The following is a 21,067-nucleotide window of genomic DNA, read 5'->3' as shown; positions in this document are numbered from 1 at the left end:
CCTCCTTGGCCGAGGTGGTGAAAGAGGCATGGGTTCTGGAGTTCAACTGGCCTGCATTAGAAGTCTAGTCCTCCTACTCAGTGGCCATGTGGCCTTGGACAGAATTGCTTAACCTCTCTGAGCCTGAGTTTCTTCATCTGTGGGTTGACAATGATAAACATTTCCCTTGTGTGATTGTTGTGAGATTCAGTAATGTATGTAAAGAGACATTAGCACAGAGTAGGAGGTACTTGATACATCTTGCTATTATCTCTTCCTTAAAGGCATAGCCCAATTCCTAGCAAGCAGAAAGGCTGACCCTGGTATCTTGTCCTAGGTGGATCTCTTGTTTTTCCTAAACATTAGTGCCCCTTATGGCCTGTGTTATTCCTTGAGCAATTAAAACACATCACTCTATGCTGGCAAGTGTCATTTATCGTGTTTGGCCTGATTCGCCAACTAGACTCCAATCAGAGCCAGGACTGTTTGTTATACTTCATTGTATCCTTAGTCTTAATCAGGGACCCAAAACGGTAGGTGCTCTCAATGACTGTCGATGACAATTATTAACTGAAGTCAGTTAACAAGTATTTATGGAGTATTTACTATGTGTCAGGCAGTGGGCCAGATTCCAAGAATACTGAGGTAAAAGAAACCCAGCCCCTCACTCAGGGAGCTCCTGCTGTGGCTAAAAGCTTTGCCAAGACATGAAAAGTTAATGTACTTTTCTGAGCATCTAATTCCCAGGGAATGACTTTGTTGAAGTAATCTGGCTCACTGTGTCTCAAACAGAAGGCAAAAGCCAAGTATGCAACCAGGAAGCTTTTTACACTGGGGAGTACATAGCATTGCATTTAGTACCCAAGGACGCTGGGGCCATTCAGGACCCCACAGGCTGTTCTTACCTCCTGCTCCTGAAGAGCAGCCCAACAGCTCTCATTCCCATCAAGATAACAGCCTGCAAGTGTGGGGGACAGCTTGCTGCTCTCCTCACCATGAGAGGTCAGTGCAAGACCTTGGACAAACCCGGTCAGTGATGGATTCCCCTTGTGAGTCATTCTAGCAATACATTATCGGAATGATTTGTTCTGGGATGGAGTGGATGAAAAGGAGAGAATGATTTGGAAAAAATGAAACCATCTTTTGAATTCATGAGTGCCACAAGTCATGAGTTCAACCAATGTTTGACTAACAAGTATTTTTAGCACAAAGATATTATATCTTTGAGGCAATTTGAGGGTTTCAGAAAACAAGTGCTGTCTGGAAACCCAAATAATAATTGAAGAAATACTACGCAATAGCCAAAAGCTTTACTCTCTCATTTGCAAAAGCAAAATGACATTTTTTTCCCCAGAAAAAAGGAAGGCTTTCAGAAGTTAAAAGAAATGCAGTTTACTGACTAAACGCCCCTCTGCAACAGAATAAAGAACCTTCCCTCTTATCTGGGTTCGGAACTGGCAAGCAACCTCCATGTGGGCACTTCATAAATATTCATTGATGATGAAAATGTCGACAGTGCAAAGGAACCATTTTGTCATTTCAAGAACCCTTTTGAAATGCTAGTGATTGAAGAAGGATCTTGACTATCCTTTGCAAATCTCGAACAAGAAAGGCCCAGTTCAGCTGTTCACATGGAATGAAACAGAACAAGGACACCGGATTAATCTCTCCTGGAGTCTTGGGTTGTGACTGTACTTATAAAGAGCAGAGCAAACTGAAGCAGTGGGTAGGATTTTTAAATAACCACTCCCCAGACATACAAGCAACTGACATTCAGCAACTCCACTCTGTGGGCAAAAACCACCTTGTTTCACTTTGCATTGGATATGAAGGCTGTGCATATAAACAGAAATAGTTAAAGCATAAGCAGGGTGTGGCAGTCCGTGTTTGTCACCCTAGACCATCCCTATCATGCTGCATCAGTTGAGCTGAGGGACATTCAGAGAGAACATGGTGAAACCAATGCACTGCTTTGTTGCCTGGTCAAGGTCTGCTTGTTTTGGCCTGGGTACACCTGGCCTTGGCCCATGGAATCTTGATAAACAGAAAGGAATGCACCTCAGTAATCATTGCCTGTACAGCCTGTGTTGGTGAAGCCAGATTATGGCTGAATTGGGCCAGTATGGCTTGGAGACCTTCCATCAGAGGCCTGGGCTATATCTGGCCCTACAGAGACCTCTTTCTGGATTCTAAGAGACACTTTCCATTTGCCAGTGGTTGACACAGGCCAGGGTAGGGGTGGGACAGCCACTACTTGGTTGTGGCTCTGGGCTATCTTAGGCCTGGAACAGAACAGCCCTATTTCTCCACACTAGGCCCCTACATCCCACCCTCCACCCCCACACCACTGCCACCACCAAGGAGTAGCCTCAAACCTTTCTCTGCACTAGAGGGGGCTGTCAGAGTAATGCTTCTGTCACCTCTGTGCTGTTTCTCATGACACACAAATACACACACACACACACACACACACGCCATGAACCACTCTGCTGAGTTTGGCGCTGGTCTTCACCTGGGACTCCAGGACTTTGGGTGAGCTCTGAGGTTTACACCATGTTATAAGGGGCAGGAAGGCACCAAAGCCCATATCATGGACTGAAAGGCCCCAGGCAGCATAATGGCACCAGGAAAACCACCGCACTTAGCCACAGCCCTCCGACAGCCTCCTATCAACACCTCTTATTCTCATGCTCCCCTCACCTCCTGCCACTCACCTTATCAAAGTTTGCCCTTTCGTCCATTCTTCAGACATTGACTGAGCACTTATATATGCAAGGCAGACCTTTGCTGAGAGAGGTGGGCTGGAGCTGTCTCCTCACAAATGAAAAAAGCCAGGGAAAGAAAGGAGCATTAATTGAGTCCTTGCTTTGTGCCAGAAGCTTTAGATTCATGTCTCACTTAATCCTGCCTTCATACCTAAGAGGAAGGCCTCATTATTCTCCTAAGTACCAGAATGGTGTGGAGGTGACACTCAGGGACACTGCTGCCTGACTGCGTCACTTCAAAGTCCAGCTGTTGTGACCCTGGGCAGAGGATTGGACCTATGTGCCCACTGCACCAGCAAAATGGGAATTGGGCTATTGTGAGCATTAAAGAAGTTAACTTATGTATAAAAAGCATTTAGAATAGCTAGAGGGAAATGTTAACCATTCTTATTGTAGTATTAGCTATTATATGTCAGAGATGAGAAGACAGAGGCTTATTGCTCATGTATAAAGATTGGATTCCACTGTGCTCCACAGCAAGTGCTCCCCCAAACTCCATGCTGCTTCTCTCACATTGTAAACTTTCCAGGGATGTTTACATTTAGCTTATGGCCAGGGCCTTAAAAGAGTTTTAAATCAGTGTATAAGAGAGAATTTGGGAGACCACTGGAGTCTTCTTTGGACCCCTGAAATTGTGTCCTCTGAGCAGAGGGTTGCCAGTGACCAGCAGTGGGCCCCAATTGTTCTGGAGAGGGCTGGTGGCATAGGGCAGTGGCCCTGGCACCTGCCCCCTCCTCTTCTCAGAACTAGGATGAGGTCCCATGATTCTGACTCTAACTTCCTCTCCACCTTTCCTTGTCCCCATCCCCATCTTAGAATCTGGGTAGTTTTTCCTGAAAATATGGCAGTTAGAATTTAAATCCAAGCCTGCCTGGCTCCAAAGCCCACGTTCTCTCTGTTCTTGGTCAGTTGCCCCACAGCTGCTCAGACATCTGTGGCAGACAGACGAATGAGGCCACAGGGACTGACACAATCATGACTTGGCCTTTGTGTGTGGTGGAAGAAGGGGGCAGGAAACTGGCACAATGGCCAATTCTGGGTGCAGGCATATCCATGTGTAACCAAGTTACCTGATCACTCAATGTATAAATGCAATCAATGGAAAGATCATATGCACTCATCTAATGTGATGCAAGGGACTCCCACCCCAAAGCAGAAAAGTGGCCAGAGGTGTCCTTGGTCAGGCAAACCATAGTTTCAAGGGTGTAACATTTTCTGGAGCTCACATCATGCCCTGACTCTCCTAAATAGCTTTGTTATCTTGGGCAAGTCTATTAACCTCTCTGAACCTCAATTTAATAATATGCAAAACAGGGCAAATAATCCTTACCTCAGAGGGTTTTCCTGATGTTTATGAGATGATGTATTAAAAAATGCCAGAGACTGGTACACAAGAGATGTTTATGAACTATGAGCTTTCCTAGACAGTGTAAGAACACAAATATGATCTCACTTAGTGTACCCCAGACATGGAAGATCTGCAAGAAGGCTTTCTGCACTCTGGCTCAGGTCCTCATTGGTAAGAAAGTGAGCCTGTGTGTCACTTCACTGCACTGTGAGTGTTGGAAACCCTTCTGTGGATGCCTGGTACTGCAACCAGCAGCATTTTAGAGGGGGTGTCCAACTGTCTTCTGGGGTGCTCTAGGGGTGTCTTCTGGGGTGCTCTTCTGTGCCTGTCCACCTGCGCCTTCCTCCACTGTCAGACCCTCACAAGCTCTTCAGTGTTGTGCTCATTGGTTTCATCAAAGCAGGACAATACTTGGCACTAAGTCGACAAAATTCTCACTTCTGCAGTGGGTCTCTAGATGTCCATGACCCTGCCTTCTCAGGAAAAGAGGGAGGACATGCGGCTGGAGGGACACAGAGGGCAAGACTGCATCCCAGTTACAACACCAGGAAGCCACGTCTGAAAGGAAACTCCTCAGAAACCTGGGCATAGGCTATCGGGAAAGTAAAGAAGACATCTGGAGAGGCGAATATTCTGAAGGAATCTCTGCCAGAGGAGAAGGGAAAAGGAAAGCACTTATCCAGGTCAAAGGCATGAGTTTCCAGGAGATTATTCATCGTGACTAGAGGATGACTGTTGACTAGATTTATTCCACAGGTATGGAAGGAAAAGTCTTGGTACATTTTTTGCAGCATTTCCTCCTCTCCATATAGACTGTTCTCATTCTGCAGGGCTGGGGTTCACCCAGTATTCAACTCCAAGCCCTTCACATAGTAAAAGAAGTAAGGGGAGCCAGGCATGGTGGCTTACACCTGTAAACCCAGCACTTTGGGAGGGCAAAGCAGGCAGATTCATTGAGCTCAGGAGTTCGACCCCAACCTGGGCAACATGGTGAAACCCTGTCTCTACTAAAAATACAAAAATTAGCTGGGTGTGGTGGTGCATGCCTGTGGTCCCAGCTACTCTGGAGGCTGAGGTGGTAGGATTGCTTGAGCCCACATGTGTGAGGCTGCAGTGAGCTGTGATCACACCACTGCTCTCCAGCCTGGGTGACAGAGTGAGAGACCCTGTCCCCCCAACCACCCCCCCCAACAGAAAAAGAAAAGAAAAAAGTGAGGGGTTTGATATCAGAATCCCTGGGTTCAGGCTGTTGCTCCATCTGACCAGCATATGATCTCTCAGACCCCAAGTTCCTCGTCTGAAAACGAGGATAGTTCTGCTTCAGGGCTGTGGTGAGTGGAAGGTGAGATTGTGTCTGAGGAAGGAGATTGTAACGAGGAAACACGCAGTTATTGGTCACTTATTTTTCAACATGCAGGAGCTCTAATTTGCCTCCAGACAACCGGTTCTATCTCAGTAAAGAAAAAGATAGCTATTAAAGTGTTTTGTAATCTTGAGGGACCTGAAAAGATTTTAAAGAGCTGAGGAAGAGCGGCCAAGTGCTTTCTCACCTGTTCCTCATCCTGGCCCCATCATCTTGGGGACATATAGGACCTTTTAGGGGAGCCTCGGCAAGTGGCCACCGTCTGGCCTCGGGCAGGCCTCCCTGGCGCCGCCAGCAGCTGGGTAGTAGCCGGGAAGGGCGCCCTCAGTCCCACGCTCACCTTGGGTCTGGGCCCACATTAAGCACTTTTTTCTTCATGCGCCATTTCCTCCATCAAAAAGTATTAAAAATTATATTTTATGGATTTATTGATGAAAAGTAAAGGTATTCCAGTCTGGGTTAATTACTATATATTCATTATTATTAATTACTTTCATTATTTATTTTTCCTTACGATTTTAATAGCAAGGTAATTTCACAGCAATGAATGATGAGTCGCATTTTGGCCACAAGGGGGTAGCATGGGGTCACTAGATGCTCACGGGAAATTGGGTGGGGGGCGCCTGGTAAACAGTGGGAAAGACAGCAACAGCCACCACCTCTGACTCACAAAGGGCTCTTGCTTCTCACCGCGTTTCCTCAGAGAGTGTCGTGTTTGCTCCTCACCACATGAGACCCAGAAAGCCAGCGGGTGGGGCAGGAGTTATTGCCCCACTCAAGGGCCAGGAAAGGGAGGCTCCCCCTGGGAGGGTCAGTGTCATGCGGGGTCACACGGTGGCAGAGGCAGGCGAATTCCTGGCTCCTGCTGTAGTGCTCCTCCCTCGGAGCCCCAGACAACCCGGATACTCTAAGCAGATGGGACAGGGACCAAGAAGCAAAACCTCTCCTCATATTGTTGCCCAGCTCAGCCCTGCCATGAGCACCCCAAATCATCGCTGGAGAGCCCCGCAGACCCCAAAGCACTGCTCGACTTTCCACCTCTGGGCAGAAGAGACCCTACATTCCACGCGTGGGCCCTACCCCAGCCTCCCTCGGGGCCAAGCACGCCTTTGTTCGCTCTCTTCCTGACCACAGGCAGCACGAGCCTCTAGGTGGGAGAGACGAGACACTCGTTCCCCTCCCTTGGAAGCTGAGCAATCACATCAAAGGCATACAAAAGGCAATTCACTGTGCAAAGGGAACGGAAAGAAATAAGTGCTCTATGGGCTCTGAGCGCTCGGGAAGGAGGTACAGCAAAGAAGGAAAGGCCAGAAACAAAACCAAACAAAACACAAGGTATAAAATGATCCGATCTTGGGGAGGCGGTTTTCTACCTCCTGGGAGGAACACCCAGCGTGTTGCCTGGCTGAGTGTACTGGGCACATGAAGAACAATAGGCCTTTCTCTCCAGCAGCCGAGCACATGCCAGGAGAAAAGGAGCCCCTTCTTAGGAAGGCTAAGTCCGCGCAGGGGCAGGGCCAGTGTAGGAAGCTAGTTTATAACACAGATACTTGCATTGAGCCTCCTTCTGAAAAGGTGGGGGGCAGGGGGTGCATAAACCCATGTGAAAATAAAAAAAAGACTTTTCTTACTGGATGAGAGAAAAAAGATTGTTCAGTTTTTTAGGCGAAACATAAGATGCCAACTGACCCTGAAATAGATGTGTCAAAAGGCAACCTGGGGCGGTTTGTTCTTTTACAGGAAGCACCTTTGTGGCCCAGAAGGTGCCAAAAACATCCTGGGGATAAGCAGTCCTTAGCAAAGAGGGGCCAGGCCTGAGGTGGGGGAGGTGGCCTTACACGGAAGCCCTGGAGAAGTGAAACAGGTAGGTGGGGGCCCCTGGGTGCTTCGGGTGCTCCAGGGACAGAGGTGGCATCCACCCACTAAGCAGGGTCACTGGATAGGCAGGAATCCCTCCCCACTCACACGCAGAGTGACCCCAGTGCTGGTCTAGTTAGGCAGGCCCGACTGGAGGAGGAATGACAGGCCTGCCACACAGATGAGGAGTAGAGTCGCAGTTCATCGTTTCTGGCTCTCCTCCGTCCCACCCCTGACCCCTCCACGGGATTGGTGAGTGGAGGTGACAGTCTAGTCTAGATTGGGAAGAGAGAGACTGAGAAACCAGACCGAGAAAAGGAAGGGCGCCCTTGGCAGAATGCCTGGCATTCCTGAGGCTGTGGATTCTGTACCTTCCTGGGAGGAGGAGAGGCATGGCAGTCACAAGCCACGGCTATCCCCGGCAGAACCAGCCTGGCTGTGTTCAGGAACTCTGATAGAGGATGACTGACTTCAGAATTGAAGAGGGCTTTTAGGATGATCTGATCCTCTCCTGTTGGTACTAGAAGGGACTCTGGGGAAAACACAGTCAAACCCTGATGAGTCCCAAAGAGATGATGTGACTTGGTGAATGCTCCATTTCTGTCTGGTCAGAGGACAGAAGCAGGAAGCCCTGGTTTCCTGATTTATGGCTCAGAGCTCTTGCTGGTAGATGACACTACCTCAAAAATGGAAGGTAAAGGTAGCCTGGAGGAGTCCTGAGAGCTGGACCCATGGCGTTGAGGGGCAAAGTGAACCTTAATTTTAAAGTCAGACCAGAGACAGAGCTCAGCCATCCAAACAATGTGATTTATCAGAGTAGCTGGGGAAAAAAAAAACACAACCAGCCCGAGAAGTCACATGATAGGGAGGTTGGTGGGCAGGGCTTATGACATGGTGTCTCAGGTTCCTTTCATCTCCAGTGTTCTGAGACCTGCTCTTCTGAGAGTCTGAGGCTCCAGGGAGATCACAGGGAGTCGATGCTGACTCGAGAAGAGGGCTGTGAGAGCCTGGCCATGACTCAGTCCACTGGGGCTTCCCTGGACCACTCTGTTATCTCTGAGTTCGCAGCCACTTCTGTGATTCTGGCTGGCACAATTGCCCAAGGCCTTCAGTGGTGAGTCAGTAGAAAGGGACAGGATAACTCATTGCCCTGGTGGAGAGGCCTCTCACCCCAAGCCTCCCACCAGTGCCTTCCTCGTGCCTCTTTGTTCCTTGGAGAAAGCAAAGGGCTGCTTGCCTCACCCAGAGGTTTCCACAATTCAGCTGTCAGAGACTCCCTCTTGGCCCGGGGGTGGTGGAGGCCTGGCAGTGTGCATTAGAAGATCAGCTGGGGTTCTTGAGATAGCCAGATTTCTTCAAATGCTTATTTTGCCAAAAGATAAAAGGAGCAAAGGGCTTAGATTTGGAAGGGACTTTAGGGACAGCTAAGGCTATAATTTCACAGATGAAGAAACTGAAGTACTGGCAGATTGTGTACTTTCCCCAAGATTACACAGAGCCTCTTTCCTCTCCGTCACCATTATTCCTGGCTGACCCACAGGCAAGGGGGAGGGTGTTCTCTGAGAGGTGAATCACAGGCCCAGCTCATGCACCTGGGCCTCTTCTGTAATAGGCAGAGGACTGGTCCCCCAAAGACGTCCATTCCCCAATCTCTGAAACTTGTGAATATACAGTGTTACTCTATATAGCAAAAAGGACTTTGCAAATGTGATTAAGTATCTTGAGATGAAAAGATTATTCTGGATTATCTGGATTACTGGGGGAGTCCAATGTCATCACAAGGGTCCTTCTACGTGAAAGGAGGAGGCAGGGGAGCCAGGGTCAGAGAGGAATTTGAAGATGCTACCCTGCTGCTGGCGGGGAAGGGGCCATGAGCTGAGAAATGCAGGTGGCCTTTGGAAGCTGGAAAGTAAGGAAACAGATTCTGCCCTAGAGCCTCCAGAAGGAATGCAGCCCGGCCTACACCTTGATGTTAGCCCGGTGAAACCCATCCTGACCTGCCAAGCTTTGTTATGTGATTTGTTATAGCACCAATGGGAACCCATACATGTCCCTGCACCTCCCCACCCCACTGCTCTCTAGTTTGTGGTTTTAAAGAACATGCTTGAAAACTAAGTCATCCCCCTCCCCCTGATTTTTACTTAATGAGATATAAGAATAAATAATTTGAAAAACTACAGGAAAGACACTAAGTCCCTTTCATTCAATAATGAAACCTGTAGAAGATCGATCAAGTTGGACCCGGTTGGATACAAAAAGTAACCAACTTAATTCTCTTTCATTGCCATCTTTTTAAGCTCACTCTGTTGAATTATTCTTCAACTTTCCTGGATGAAATGCCAGGCATATTCCAAAGCTTTCCTGGTCGCTTTCAGGTTTTACTAAACATCTAATTTTTGGTCTGGGAAGTTCAGTCCAGTCTCCCATCAAAGCTTCAATGTCTCATCCAATATAAAGCTTTTTTTCTGCCCTAATTTGGGCCTGATGAGGCCCCAAGGCCTACAGAAATGAAGAGCAGGTGCTGGGGAGCAAGATGGTCAGTTTCCTAACTAGTTTCCCTCCTTATTCTTCCACTGCTCTGCCACTCACTCTGCTGCCTCTGGCTCCTTCGAGGGTGGGAGAGGGTAAATGGGAGGGAGGAGAGGTAAGGGGTAGCTAAGACTTCATTGACTCAGTGTGTGGCTCTTCACTCAGCGAGCCTTTCAGAGACATCCAACCACAAAGTTCTCTGGCAAGGCAAACTAATCACTGGCGGTTCCCCTAACAACTCTCCCCTCAGTTCCTACATCAATACTACCCCTGCAAGAACCCAGTTTTCTGTTGGTGCCATCTCACTCCTGCAGCTATCTCCTTGGGTGGGGTCTCCTTTGAGATGACACCCCAAAGCTAAGCTCCTTTCTCTGCTGTGCTCAGCTCACTTAATCAGCCCCCCCTTCACTCTTCAATCCCAGGCAGCTCCTGCTGTCACTCAACTTAGATTTTTTTCAGGTTAGCTTCAGTGTGATGAACTGTCCTAAGCCATTTTGGCCAGCTGTGACCATTGGATTTTTTTGTGGTAGATAATAGTAGCCGCTACTATGTAGAGGGAAGATGAGGGTTGGTTATTCCTCCATAATTCTGCTATTGGGTTATCATGAAAGATCCTTTCCTTTGCATGAAAGGTTAATTGAGGGCGAATATGATGATATTGTAGAGGCAAGATTCAAATAAACTAGAGGGTGAGCATCAGACAGCCAGATTCCTTTGAACCAGTTGCTGGTTATAGGATCACTTAAGCATCAAGCTTTAGGTGACTTTAAGGGCTTATGCCGCAGTCTCCCCTAAATCTATACCCAATTCATGCAAGTGTGAGGAGAGTCTTTCAAATATTTTGAATACTGCTAATTTCACAACATGAAATCCATTTTAAGTATTCATTATGCTGATTAGCAAAGCCTCTGGTGTTGCTCAAAGGTAAAGATAATCTTATATATCCTCATGGTAGCTGCCTCTGGAGTGTGGGTAAGAGTACAGCTTAGCAAACACACACAGTATCACCCTGCCTATGTCGAAGCATATCAGATTACATCACAGGCATCATAAAACTCAGCCTCCAGTCTTTGTTTTCCTAAACTCTTGGGACACAGGTCGTTTAAGACAGAGAGTTCTTAGTCCTCCTAAAAACCTTCTGCCCACATTCTTTTTTTTTTCCAACTTTTATTTTAGAATCAGGGGTGCATGTGCAGATTTTTTTTTCTTTTTTTGAGACAGAGTCTCACTCTGTCACCCAGACTGGAGTACAGTGGCGCAATCTCCGCTCACTGCAACCTCCGCCTCCCGGGTTCAAGTGATTACTCCTGCCTCAGCCTCCTGAGTAGCTGGGATTATAGTCACGTGCCACCACGCCCGGCTAATTTTTGTATTTTTAGTAGAGACGGGGTTTCACCATGTTGGTCAGGCTGGTCTCTAATTCCTGAGCTCATGATCCCCCTGCCTCAGCCTCCCAAAGTGCTGGGATTGCACCGCGCCCGGCCTTGTTACAAAGGTATATTGTATGATACACTCCTGAGGTTTGAAGTAGGAATGAATCTGTCACCCAGGCAATGAACATAGTACACAATAGGTTGTTTTTCAGCCCTTGCTCTCCTCACATTCTGTCTCAGTCCTGTGATGGCTTAAGGCTGAACCATTTCTAGGGCTCTGAAAAATCCAGCCAGGAAGCAAGCTGTCAGTCTCTCCTCCTGGGAGACATCCTACCTTCTCTGAGTGGCTCTCTTCACTTGAAGTGGATGATTCATGTTCTCAGCATACTGACAACTCTCTTGAAATAAATTCCCCCTCTCTAGTCCTCCTCATTCACCTCCTCCCCTCTGCTGCACACCCCTGAGGTAGGTGATGGGCTCAGGGTCACTGCTTAGCAAGGTCAGTGTTGATGATCTAGCAACCCTGCATAAAATGTGTAGTGGGCACATAACACCCCTTGTTTTTGGTTTTGAGGAATCAACTGAAACTCTGCAGCAATAGGAAAAGCCCCCCTTAACAGCCTGCTATAGGGCAGTGGAATTTGTTGTGTTTCCCTTTTTGCCTTGATCACCAAGACTGAGTGTAACACTTGCCTGCATAGCTTCTCCTTAGCCTAGATTTCAGAACCTACCTTCCCTCCTTGCTAACTCACTTACATCATCTCTCTTCTGCTTCATCTCCCACATTCATGCTCTGCTGTTGTTCTTTTGCCCTTGTTTTGATGATTCTGTTGCTTGTTCAGTGCTGAAAGCTGATGCGGAGTTATTTATAAGTACATTATAAAAAGAATTTGTAAAATTTTAGTTTAGATTTCCTAGAGGGTAGTTACATGCAACCCAATGAGGAAAACATCAGTGTTTTTTCTGTGAGAAGTTAAAATGCATAGACATAGAGATGGCATTTGTTCCACTAGGAGCTACAATAGTGTTTCTCTTTAATCAGATGAAAGATAGATTGTGTAAGCTTAGGGAAGCATCTTCTGATCAAAAGTTCCACATAATTTGGATAAACATGGAAGGCAAATGTTTAATGCAAAATTTCTTTATTTTCAAAAGAAAATAATGATGGATAAGGAAGCAGAAGCAAGGAGCAAGACTCAGGTGCTGAAGCATGTGACACTATGGAGAGTTCCTCTATAAGAAAGAGGGGAAAAGAAATACCCCTCCCTCTGAGAGTGCCACAGCCTCACATTAGGGATCAGAACAGAGTTACACAAAGTCACCTAGAAGGTGCAGAGTGTCTCTATAGCCTGGAAAAATCAATTAAAACCTCCTTAAGTATATTAATACCAGAGAAAGATTATGTTGATTATGGGAAAATAGGCAGAATAGTGGGAACAGAGAAAAAGGAGCATAACCAAGGCAAAGGACAGCTGATATCTTTTAACATTTAATAAAGAAACTTCTGATGAGGACCCGGCTTTCCTTGGGCCTAGGAGAGGATGCACTGATAAAGTCACAGCATATTATGGCCCTAGGGGAGACTAGTATACTAGAGCTACATTGCCTCATGTAAATGAACAGATAAGCCCTGTAGGTTGGCATCAGTCTTTGGGCCTTGTGTTTAGGATGAAGCAGTCTTGCAGGGCACTGCCTTCCCTTAGAGCAATGGTTTTCAGACTTTCATGGACATCAAATGATGCAGAGGGCTTATTTTGTTGGGCTGTATTCCCAAAGTAACTGATTCACTAGGTCTGGGGTGGGGCCTGGGAATTTGTGTTTCCAGCAAACAAGCTCCTAGGTGATACTAAGCCTGCTGGTCCAGGGATAGACTTTGGGAACCACTAAGAGCATTTCATAGCATTTAAAAATTTCCTTCTCCTACATGCCTAGGAGACCAACTGAATCAGAATCTCTAGGAGTAGGACACAAGCATCAGTATTTTAAAAAACTGTCTAGGTGATTCCAAAGATGACCCCACTACCAGGTCTACCATTCCAAGTGAATGATTTCCAAATGATAGGCAACATAAAAACACCACCATTTGGGCAAGAAAGCATCATTTTTTTTACCCTGCAATAAAATAACAGTGGGATATGAATGGATAACGATAGCTAACAGTTGTTGAATACTTATATTGTGCCAGGATTAAATAATTTGCTCCAAACAACTATCCCCATCTTAAAGGTGATGAAACAGGCATCCCATGAAATTAAGTAACTTGTCCAAGGTCATGCACAAGTAACAGAGCTGGAATTTGAACCCAGGCCCTGCAGCCTCAGAGTCCCTGCACGTGGCCTGAACTATAGGGTACTCTGTGTAACCAGTCTGAGGGAGCATATTAACAGCCTCACTCTCTCTGGGCAGTTTCTATAGTGAACACTGAATGGGCCCCATCATCCAGCCAACTGGGCTATTATCCAGGATTCACCACTTAATAAGTTGCTATGGTTTAAACATTTTTGTCCCCTCCAAAACTCATGTTGGAACTTAATTCCCAAGGCAACAGTGTTGGGAGGTGGGGCCTAACGGGAGGTGTTCATGTCATTAGAGCTCTTCCCTCATGCTTCTGCTATGTGAAGAACAGTGTTTCTCTCCTACAGAGGATGCAGTGTCCAGGGCATCATCTATGAATGGAGACAACCTTTACCGGACACCAAACCTACCAGCACCATGACCTTGAACTTTCCAGCCTTCTGAACTGTGAGAAATACATTTCTGTTGTTTATAAATTACCTAGTTTTTGGAATTCAGTTATAGCAGGACAAAATGGACTAAGACAACAGTGATGCAATTTGATCAAGCTCTTTAGCCCTTCTGAGCCTGTTTTCTCATGGGGAAAATGCATATAAATGTGTCTAAATCAGAGGCCTGCTGGTAAGGCTAAAAGAAATTTGCCAAGGAGTGCCTAGCACAGAGCCGGGGTTCAGGAGACATTCACTCCCTTCCTCTTTTCCATCAGCTTTTCCTCTAAGGGTCCTCAGAACCCCAAAGAGTTTTTCCCAGTTGCTTCTTGGGCATCTTTGTAAGTACAGCTCTCTTGAGAACTGGCAGACACCTTTGACTGAAGAAATAAGTTCTGGGGAAATAAAGTTTTCCTGCTGGATGGAAGGAAGCACAGATGTTAGGCTTCGTTGAAAAATGAGTTCAGCTCATGACAGTTGAAAGTAAGGAAATCTGTGCTGCTACTTGAAGGAAAATAAGAACTGATTCCTGAGCTGTGGTTTCCCGGCATATCTCAGAGCAGCTGCATTGCATCAGGGGTCTGGGTATCAGATGGGGCTTCCACAGCTACAAGGTGTGCTGTGAGTCAGTTGTTACTAATAAAACAAAGTACTGAAGCTTGTTAGTGACTCACAAAATAGTAATGCATTAGATGAGATATGCATTGCTGTTTGAGAGTACTCTTGAGAGGGGCAGAGCCTTGTTTGCTGGGATTGTACACAATTCTGGGTAGGCCTTTGGTAAGGTAACTTGCAGGTGTCACCTGAACCAAATGCCAAAGCCGAGAATGATTGTATATGCCATTTAAAAGCAGATTGAAAGAACATTTTGAGGAAGTCTAGAATAACTAATTTTTATATCTTCCTACTTCTGCGATTTTTTAAAGGGAATCATAAAAGAATATATAGGTACCTTAAAACAAAGATGGGATGAATAACTTAGAGAAAGAAATATCTGATGGTGGTTGGGGGAAAGGGAGATGTAGGGTAAGAACTATGTCAGAAAATGTAGGCTAAGGAGGATCCTCAAAATTAAGTTCTGAGATTCCTAGGCAAAAAGAATAGTCCCATGCATTCCACAGCTTTCATTAACTGAAAAAAGAAAACATAGGCAAACTTCATTCTAGTACTAAAGTCCAAGTGGAAATTAGTTGCAAGGAATTTTTTATGTGAAGCAACATAATGAATATCTATGGCAATTTTACAGATAATTTAAAGCTGTTTTTCACCCGATCATTTCTTAAAATGACACTGGGTAAAGCTAAGGGGCATAATGCTAAATGATGTAAACAAACACTGTATTGAGTACCAAAGTGACTTAAGCCAGGAAGGGACTTCAGTGACTCCAGGGAGGAAAAAGTTTAGAGAACTGCAAAGTACCCTACATGCTATCCTTGCTGTTTTGGCAACATCTATACCCCTTTTAAAATGCAAAGATAAACTTTAAGAGCACCATTTAATAGCTCTTTAATGAAACTATGTTTAACCTGAGCAAGTTGTTGTGTATGCAAGATACTGGAAACGCCTTCTGTGGAAGGAAAGGCAAGTACAACTTTGTGCTTCTATTTGGATAAAAGGTTTTGAAGTGAAAGGCATTTGTGCAAATTACAAGCAGATTTTCAAGTCTAGAAAAACAAAAATCTCAACTGTGGATTAAGTTCTATTTTTTAACAAAAGTGAAATACTCTGCTTTAATTTCAGAAGTTAAAAAATCCTTTTTAACAACAGCAAAAAGGGGACCTGTTTTGAATTTAAAAGAAGTAGAGTGAGACAAGTTAGGAAAAAAAGAATTACCATTGCCTTTCTAAATTTATTATTATCATAATTGTCATTAAGTGTATTCGTCTTTCTTTAGGGTAAAGAGAGCTTTCCGATGGCCAAAATTTACTAGTCACTGAATTGTGTCCCAGGACACCCTTCAATAAAACTTGGCCTAAAGAAGCTTCAAGTTCCCTTCAAGTTCGAGGGCAGAGTCTGGGGTTCAGCCCAAGCCACTGGCATCCCTGAAGGGGCTGCAGGGCTCCTGACTCCAGGACCTCCTGGCATCCCGAATGCATGACCTCTCATGCCCGCCGCAGCACCTGCAATCTTGCCGGTGCTGCTTGGATTGCTGAGCAAACACTTGTTATTTGCGAAAGTACAAGGTTCAGTCTGTCAAACAGGGAAAACCAAACACCGAAGCACAGGAGCAGATAAGAGGGCCATGGTTGTGAGACCCACGCGGGCTCAGAGCGCGGCGGCGGGGCCCGGGCCTACCCGGCGCATGGGGGCTAAGGTGCAGCTAGGCAGGCCACGCGGCGCGGGCGGACGGCCTGGCCCGCGGAAACAGGCGCATAGGGCGGGAAAGTTCACCCGCCTTGCGGCGGCGACCGTTCTGGGTCGAACCGGCCATTGTAAGCCGCGCCGCTGGCGACCCGCCTGGGACCCCTTCGTGCCTTGGCCTTGGGGGGCCAAACACATCCCGAACGCCGTTCCCACCTTGCAGATTCTTGCAAGCTGCGGGTCCTACCTTGCTTCCCACGGGCTGATAACCCTGAACGTTCCCAGCGGGTAGAGGGCTTGCCACCTGCTGCTGAGCTGCGCTGCAGGCTTCCCCCGCCTCCTGCCGTAGGTCTAAGCCCAGAGACCAGAGGGGCCTTGGGCCTTGGCGCGCTGCCGCCGCCAGGGCACCGAGCGAGCCACTCTGCCTGACACTCATTTTTCTCTTCTGCAAAATGGGACTGACACCAACAATCACCTTCCTACCACCTCAGGGGGTTTTGAGGATCCCGTGAAATAACGGTGTGAAGATACTTTCAAAGTGGAAATCTCGGTTGTTACTAACTCATTTGTGAACCCCATTTTCTTCTTGATTTCTTCCTGACGTAGAATTGATCATCGTCACTGGGCTGTCTTAGCTACCCCTCCCTTGACTGTAATTTTAAATTTATCTGTGCATACCATTCCAAAAACAAACAAAAAAATCACGTGACCTGTGGTTTTATGTGTGAACAAAAGTTCTCTGAAAAGGAATTTAGAGGAAACAGACTTTATTACAATGAACAGTTTACAGACGAGGAAACATAGCCCTAAGTGTAAAATGAAGAGAACAAAGAGACAGTTTGGCGTTTACAGAGAAAATTCCTACCTGGGTTCCCAATCAGGTCCATTTATGCAAATGAACAATTCAAACTGGCTTGGTTCTGATTGATCAATGCAGCTGAGTCCTGATTGGTTGATGGGGAGCACAGCCTATTCCGTTGCTTCAGGCCACATGAGCGGTAACAGTCAGCTGTCAAAGCCCCAGTGTTAAGCCGACTGTGGGTTTTCCAGGAACTCAGAGTAGTGTGTAATCTCTAGTCAGTAAATGGCCGTTTGGCTCTATATTAAATTTATGTAGCCACTCAGGATTCATCTTGAGGGACTGGCTCTTTCAGATTCACTCATGTTTCAACTCTGCTGTTTATAAGTCCTCTATCTGTGTATACAGGCCTAGAGGTCCCAGGGCCGGATATAAAATTTCTCTGGACAGGGCCTGCTCCATAACCACCTTCACATGCTGTTCTTCAAACATATAGAATTGGGTTGATAGTGGAAACAATTTCAGGTACTTTAACCCAATTCTAAATATTCTAAATTTTAGGTATTTTAACCTTGGAATAATATAATTTTTTCTTCTTTTTTCTGTGTATAAAAAGACGTACATAGTTGATATGACACTATGTAATGTAACTCATAGATCACTATGTAATTTTGTACCTGCATTCATTCAGCATTTTAACATGAATTAATATTAATATTTTTCCATGTTAACTCTCTATGTAAAAACCATTTGCAATAAGCATTTTTCCATTTAGTAAGCTACCTCATATTTTATTAAATTGTTTTTCTACTGTTACACATAAGAGTTTTCTCCAGTTTTCCACTATAATAAATAATACTGCAGTGAACATCTTTCTTCCCAAAGCTTTTTTTGTTCTTTTTTTTCCTTGCTTTTGGTTTACCTCCTTAAAAGAATTCTGGGTCAAAGGTTATGAACATTTTTCAAAAGACCTTTGTTGTCATGATGGCAGAGAGGCAGCACTAAAATAGTTTGGAGCAATAGGGATTTCACCAAAATAGCTATGATTGATATCTGGAAAGAAAGACAGAGAAAATAATGGCATGGGAATCTTTCTAGAGTTTTAGGGCCTTGTTCTGATTTAAAAAAAAAAAAATATATATATATATATATATATATATATATGAAAGGAAAATAAATCTTCGGGCCCCCAAATCACTAAGGGAATAATCAAGCTGGGAACTGCTTAGGGCAAACCTGCTTCCCATTCTATTCAAAGTCACCCCTCTGCTCACTGAGATAAATGCATATCTGATTGCCTCCTTTGGAAAGGCTAATCAGAAACTCACAAGAATGAACCGTTTGTCTCTCAAGTATCTGTGACCTGGAAGCTCCCTCCCAGCTTCAAGTTGTGCCGCCTTTCCAGACAGAACCAATGTACAGCTTATATATATTGATTGACGTCTCATGTCTTCCTAAAATGTATAAAACCAAGCTGTGTTCTGACCAACTTGGACACATGTCATCAGGACCTCCTGAGGCTGTGTCATGGGCATGCATCCTCAACCTTGGCAAAATAAACTTTCTAAATTAACTGAGATCTGTCTCAGATATTTGGGGTTCACATATATATGAATATATGAAATAATTGTATATCTTAGAGTCCCATTCCTGGAAGTTTAAACAGCTGTACTCATAGCCCACACTTAAGTAGAAAGTTGGGAGAATATCTGACAGTATGGGTGACAACTGCTTACTCTAGGTGCAGATTGGGGCTTCTCAGGCAGCTATTGGCCCCAGGGTAATTAGCCTTCTGGTGACTACAGAAGTAGAAAGTAGAGATCTCCATCTACTTTACAGTTGAAGGCACTGAGTCTCAGCACACCCAGTTCAGTGGTTGTTAACTCTGGTTGCATAGTATAATCACTTAGGGTGATGAAAAGACATCCAGAAAAAAACATCCAGGATAGATCCTCAGATATTCTGATGTAATTGGTCTGAGGTGAGACCCAGGCATCATTACAATATGAAAGCTCCTTGGGTGATACTAATATGAATTAGGATTGAGAAGCTCTGGTATAGTGGGAAAAATATGGGCTTTGGAGTCACTAATATCTGATACAGCTCCCAGCTTTGCCATTTATTGGCCATGTCATTTTGAGTAAATTAATGACTACTCTCTGCTAAGGGTCCTCATTTTAAATCATAAAGTTGTCACAAGGGTTAAATGTAATAACATGCAAAGTGTTTTTCAAGGTTTCTGGAACATGGTTGGTGTTAAAAAAACGTTGGGTCCTTTAGTATGTACCTAAGGTCCTATAGCTAGCTGATGGTTCTGGAAAGCCATCCAGAACCGTGCTGTGCACTCAGTGAATGCCTGTGGATGTTCCTTGGTGACATCATCTTTGAACATGAATATGGGTGTTACTGAGACATTTCGAACACCACATTGAGTTGGTGTTCATCAGAACAATAAAGCCATACCTCATAGAGATTCATCTCATTTGCTGAATATTAATTTGCCTCCTATTTTTAGTTCTTCAGCTAAAAAGAAACCAATTTTTATTCTGCTAAACCAATTGATTATGATGGAACTCTTGCAAGAAAAAAGTTAAACACTGTTACAATTACATAAATGTATGGAAGTCTTTGTGTAACTTATGTAGTAAGCTGAGGATATAACAGTTAAATTGTCCTTTAAAAATTTTAAGACCTGCCCCACCCTCCACCCCCAGCAATGAACGATTTCACTTTTCACCAGCTTTAACCTAAATGCCTTTAGCCTATTTTCTTTATCCATCCTATGATAGACAGAAGAGTTAGTGAGAACTGGATTTGATTTCAGAAGACCTGGGATTGAGGCTTGGCTCTGTCATTCACTGGGTATAAACCTCGGGCGATCATTCTTCTTTGCCCTTGTGCCTTCTCATGAATGCAATGAGCACCTGAATAGCATGACCTGACTTTAGCATGAAGTGAGTTTAAAACTGTGATGCTGACCAAGCAGGACATGGTTATTTAACACTTATTAAGCACCTCCTGTATGTCCAGCCCTCAGTAGGAAACCTTGCGGGAATTATAAAGCCCTGAGACTTTTATAGAGTAACTTGGAGTCTAGCTAGAAGAGATAAATCTCATGCATGAAGAACAACTAGGACCAGTTTCCACCTGAGAGCTGCAATAAGTCCAGCCCAGTTGACTCATGGAGGAAATAAGTGGAACATTTAAGAAATGACAATCATGGAGAAACGAAGGGGTGTCAAAATTGAATGTCCTGTCCCTTAGTGCTTTATTTCTCTTCAGTCTCTGACACAAAGTCTTGGATAGTAATAACATGACACAAAACTCCTTCAAGTTAGATAGGGCCAGGCATTTTTCTAACAGCACATTCCAGAACTTTGTCTGTCCATGTCCTAAATCCTTATTATTTTGCCCAGTTTTCAGCAGTCTTTTGCAAGCTCCAGGCTTTCCCCCACTCCTATTTAGACCTCATGTGCCTCTGATAGCTCTGGACAGAGCCCATACTGTGTGGCGGACGCACAAAGGGGACACAGTATGCAAATGGCGGTGTAGGAAGCATCGAGGCAGGAATGTTTGAGCTGTGCCATGTCACAGATCATTTCTGAAACAGCAGTCCCTGAGCTGTGAGTCACAACCCTTGTTAGGGGTGAACAGCTGATGAGGCTGGTGTCAATTTTTGTCTGACCCCATCCTAAGAGCAACACCCCAAGTACTTCAATTACCCATTTGTAACATTCTCCCAGCAGTGGAGAAAGGAACAACAGTGGCAGCCCACACAGTGAACCTCAAAAGTAAAGCTCTCTGAAGTATGAAGATAGAAGAGGAAGTTTGGGAGACTCACAATGAAAGGGTTTAACAAAAACTGCCTGTGAATGTGTTGACTTAGAAACTATTGGAGCATTGGCAATGATTTCCTTAACAACGGAAGGAAAATTGACCAGGGGCATGAGTGTTTCATTCATTTTTCAGATGAGTATAGCAGAATTGCCAAGAGAAAGAGAATGTCTGCTCTAGCGCAGGGTTTCAGCCC

The 21,067-nt window shown here is 45.2% G+C and overlaps 1 long non-coding RNA gene across 1 annotated transcript in view, besides 3 other annotated features; it reads left to right on the top strand.

Annotated features, from left to right (window-relative positions):
* Positions 838-1,132: a silencer, noted in NCBI's record as "tiled region #13439; K562 Repressive DNase matched - State 12:CtcfO". NCBI's record gives its function as "represses a minimal TATA promoter and a strong SV40 promoter by Sharpr-MPRA in K562 cells {active_cell/tissue: K562}" and the evidence as "EXISTENCE:reporter gene assay evidence [ECO:0000049][PMID:27701403]".
* Positions 7,464-8,663: an enhancer, noted in NCBI's record as "MED14-independent group 3 enhancer chr3:156845958-156847157 (GRCh37/hg19 assembly coordinates)". NCBI's record gives its function as "activates an origin of replication core promoter dependent on BRD2, BRD4, P300/CBP and CDK7 cofactors, and independent of MED14, by STARR-seq in HCT116 cells {active_cell/tissue: HCT116}" and the evidence as "EXISTENCE:reporter gene assay evidence [ECO:0000049][PMID:35650434]".
* Positions 8,205-8,414: an enhancer, noted in NCBI's record as "active region_20738". NCBI's record gives its function as "activates an Ori minimal core promoter by ATAC-STARR-seq in GM12878 lymphoblastoid cells {active_cell/tissue: GM12878}" and the evidence as "EXISTENCE:reporter gene assay evidence [ECO:0000049][PMID:35858748]".
* LINC00880 (long intergenic non-protein coding RNA 880) overlaps positions 13,830-21,067 on the top strand; it is a 41,336-nt gene continuing 34,098 nt past the window's right edge. Inside the window, exon 1 of the long non-coding RNA NR_034007.1 lies at positions 13,830-13,956. This is a non-coding gene — a long non-coding RNA (long intergenic non-protein coding RNA 880). The remainder of the gene's footprint in view (positions 13,957-21,067) is intronic.

Source organism: Homo sapiens, chromosome 3 (genome assembly GCF_000001405.40).
Source record: "Homo sapiens chromosome 3, GRCh38.p14 Primary Assembly".
In the NCBI taxonomy this organism is placed as follows: Eukaryota; Metazoa; Chordata; class Mammalia; order Primates; family Hominidae; genus Homo; species Homo sapiens.
This window is presented reverse-complemented; position numbering and strand designations above follow the sequence as displayed.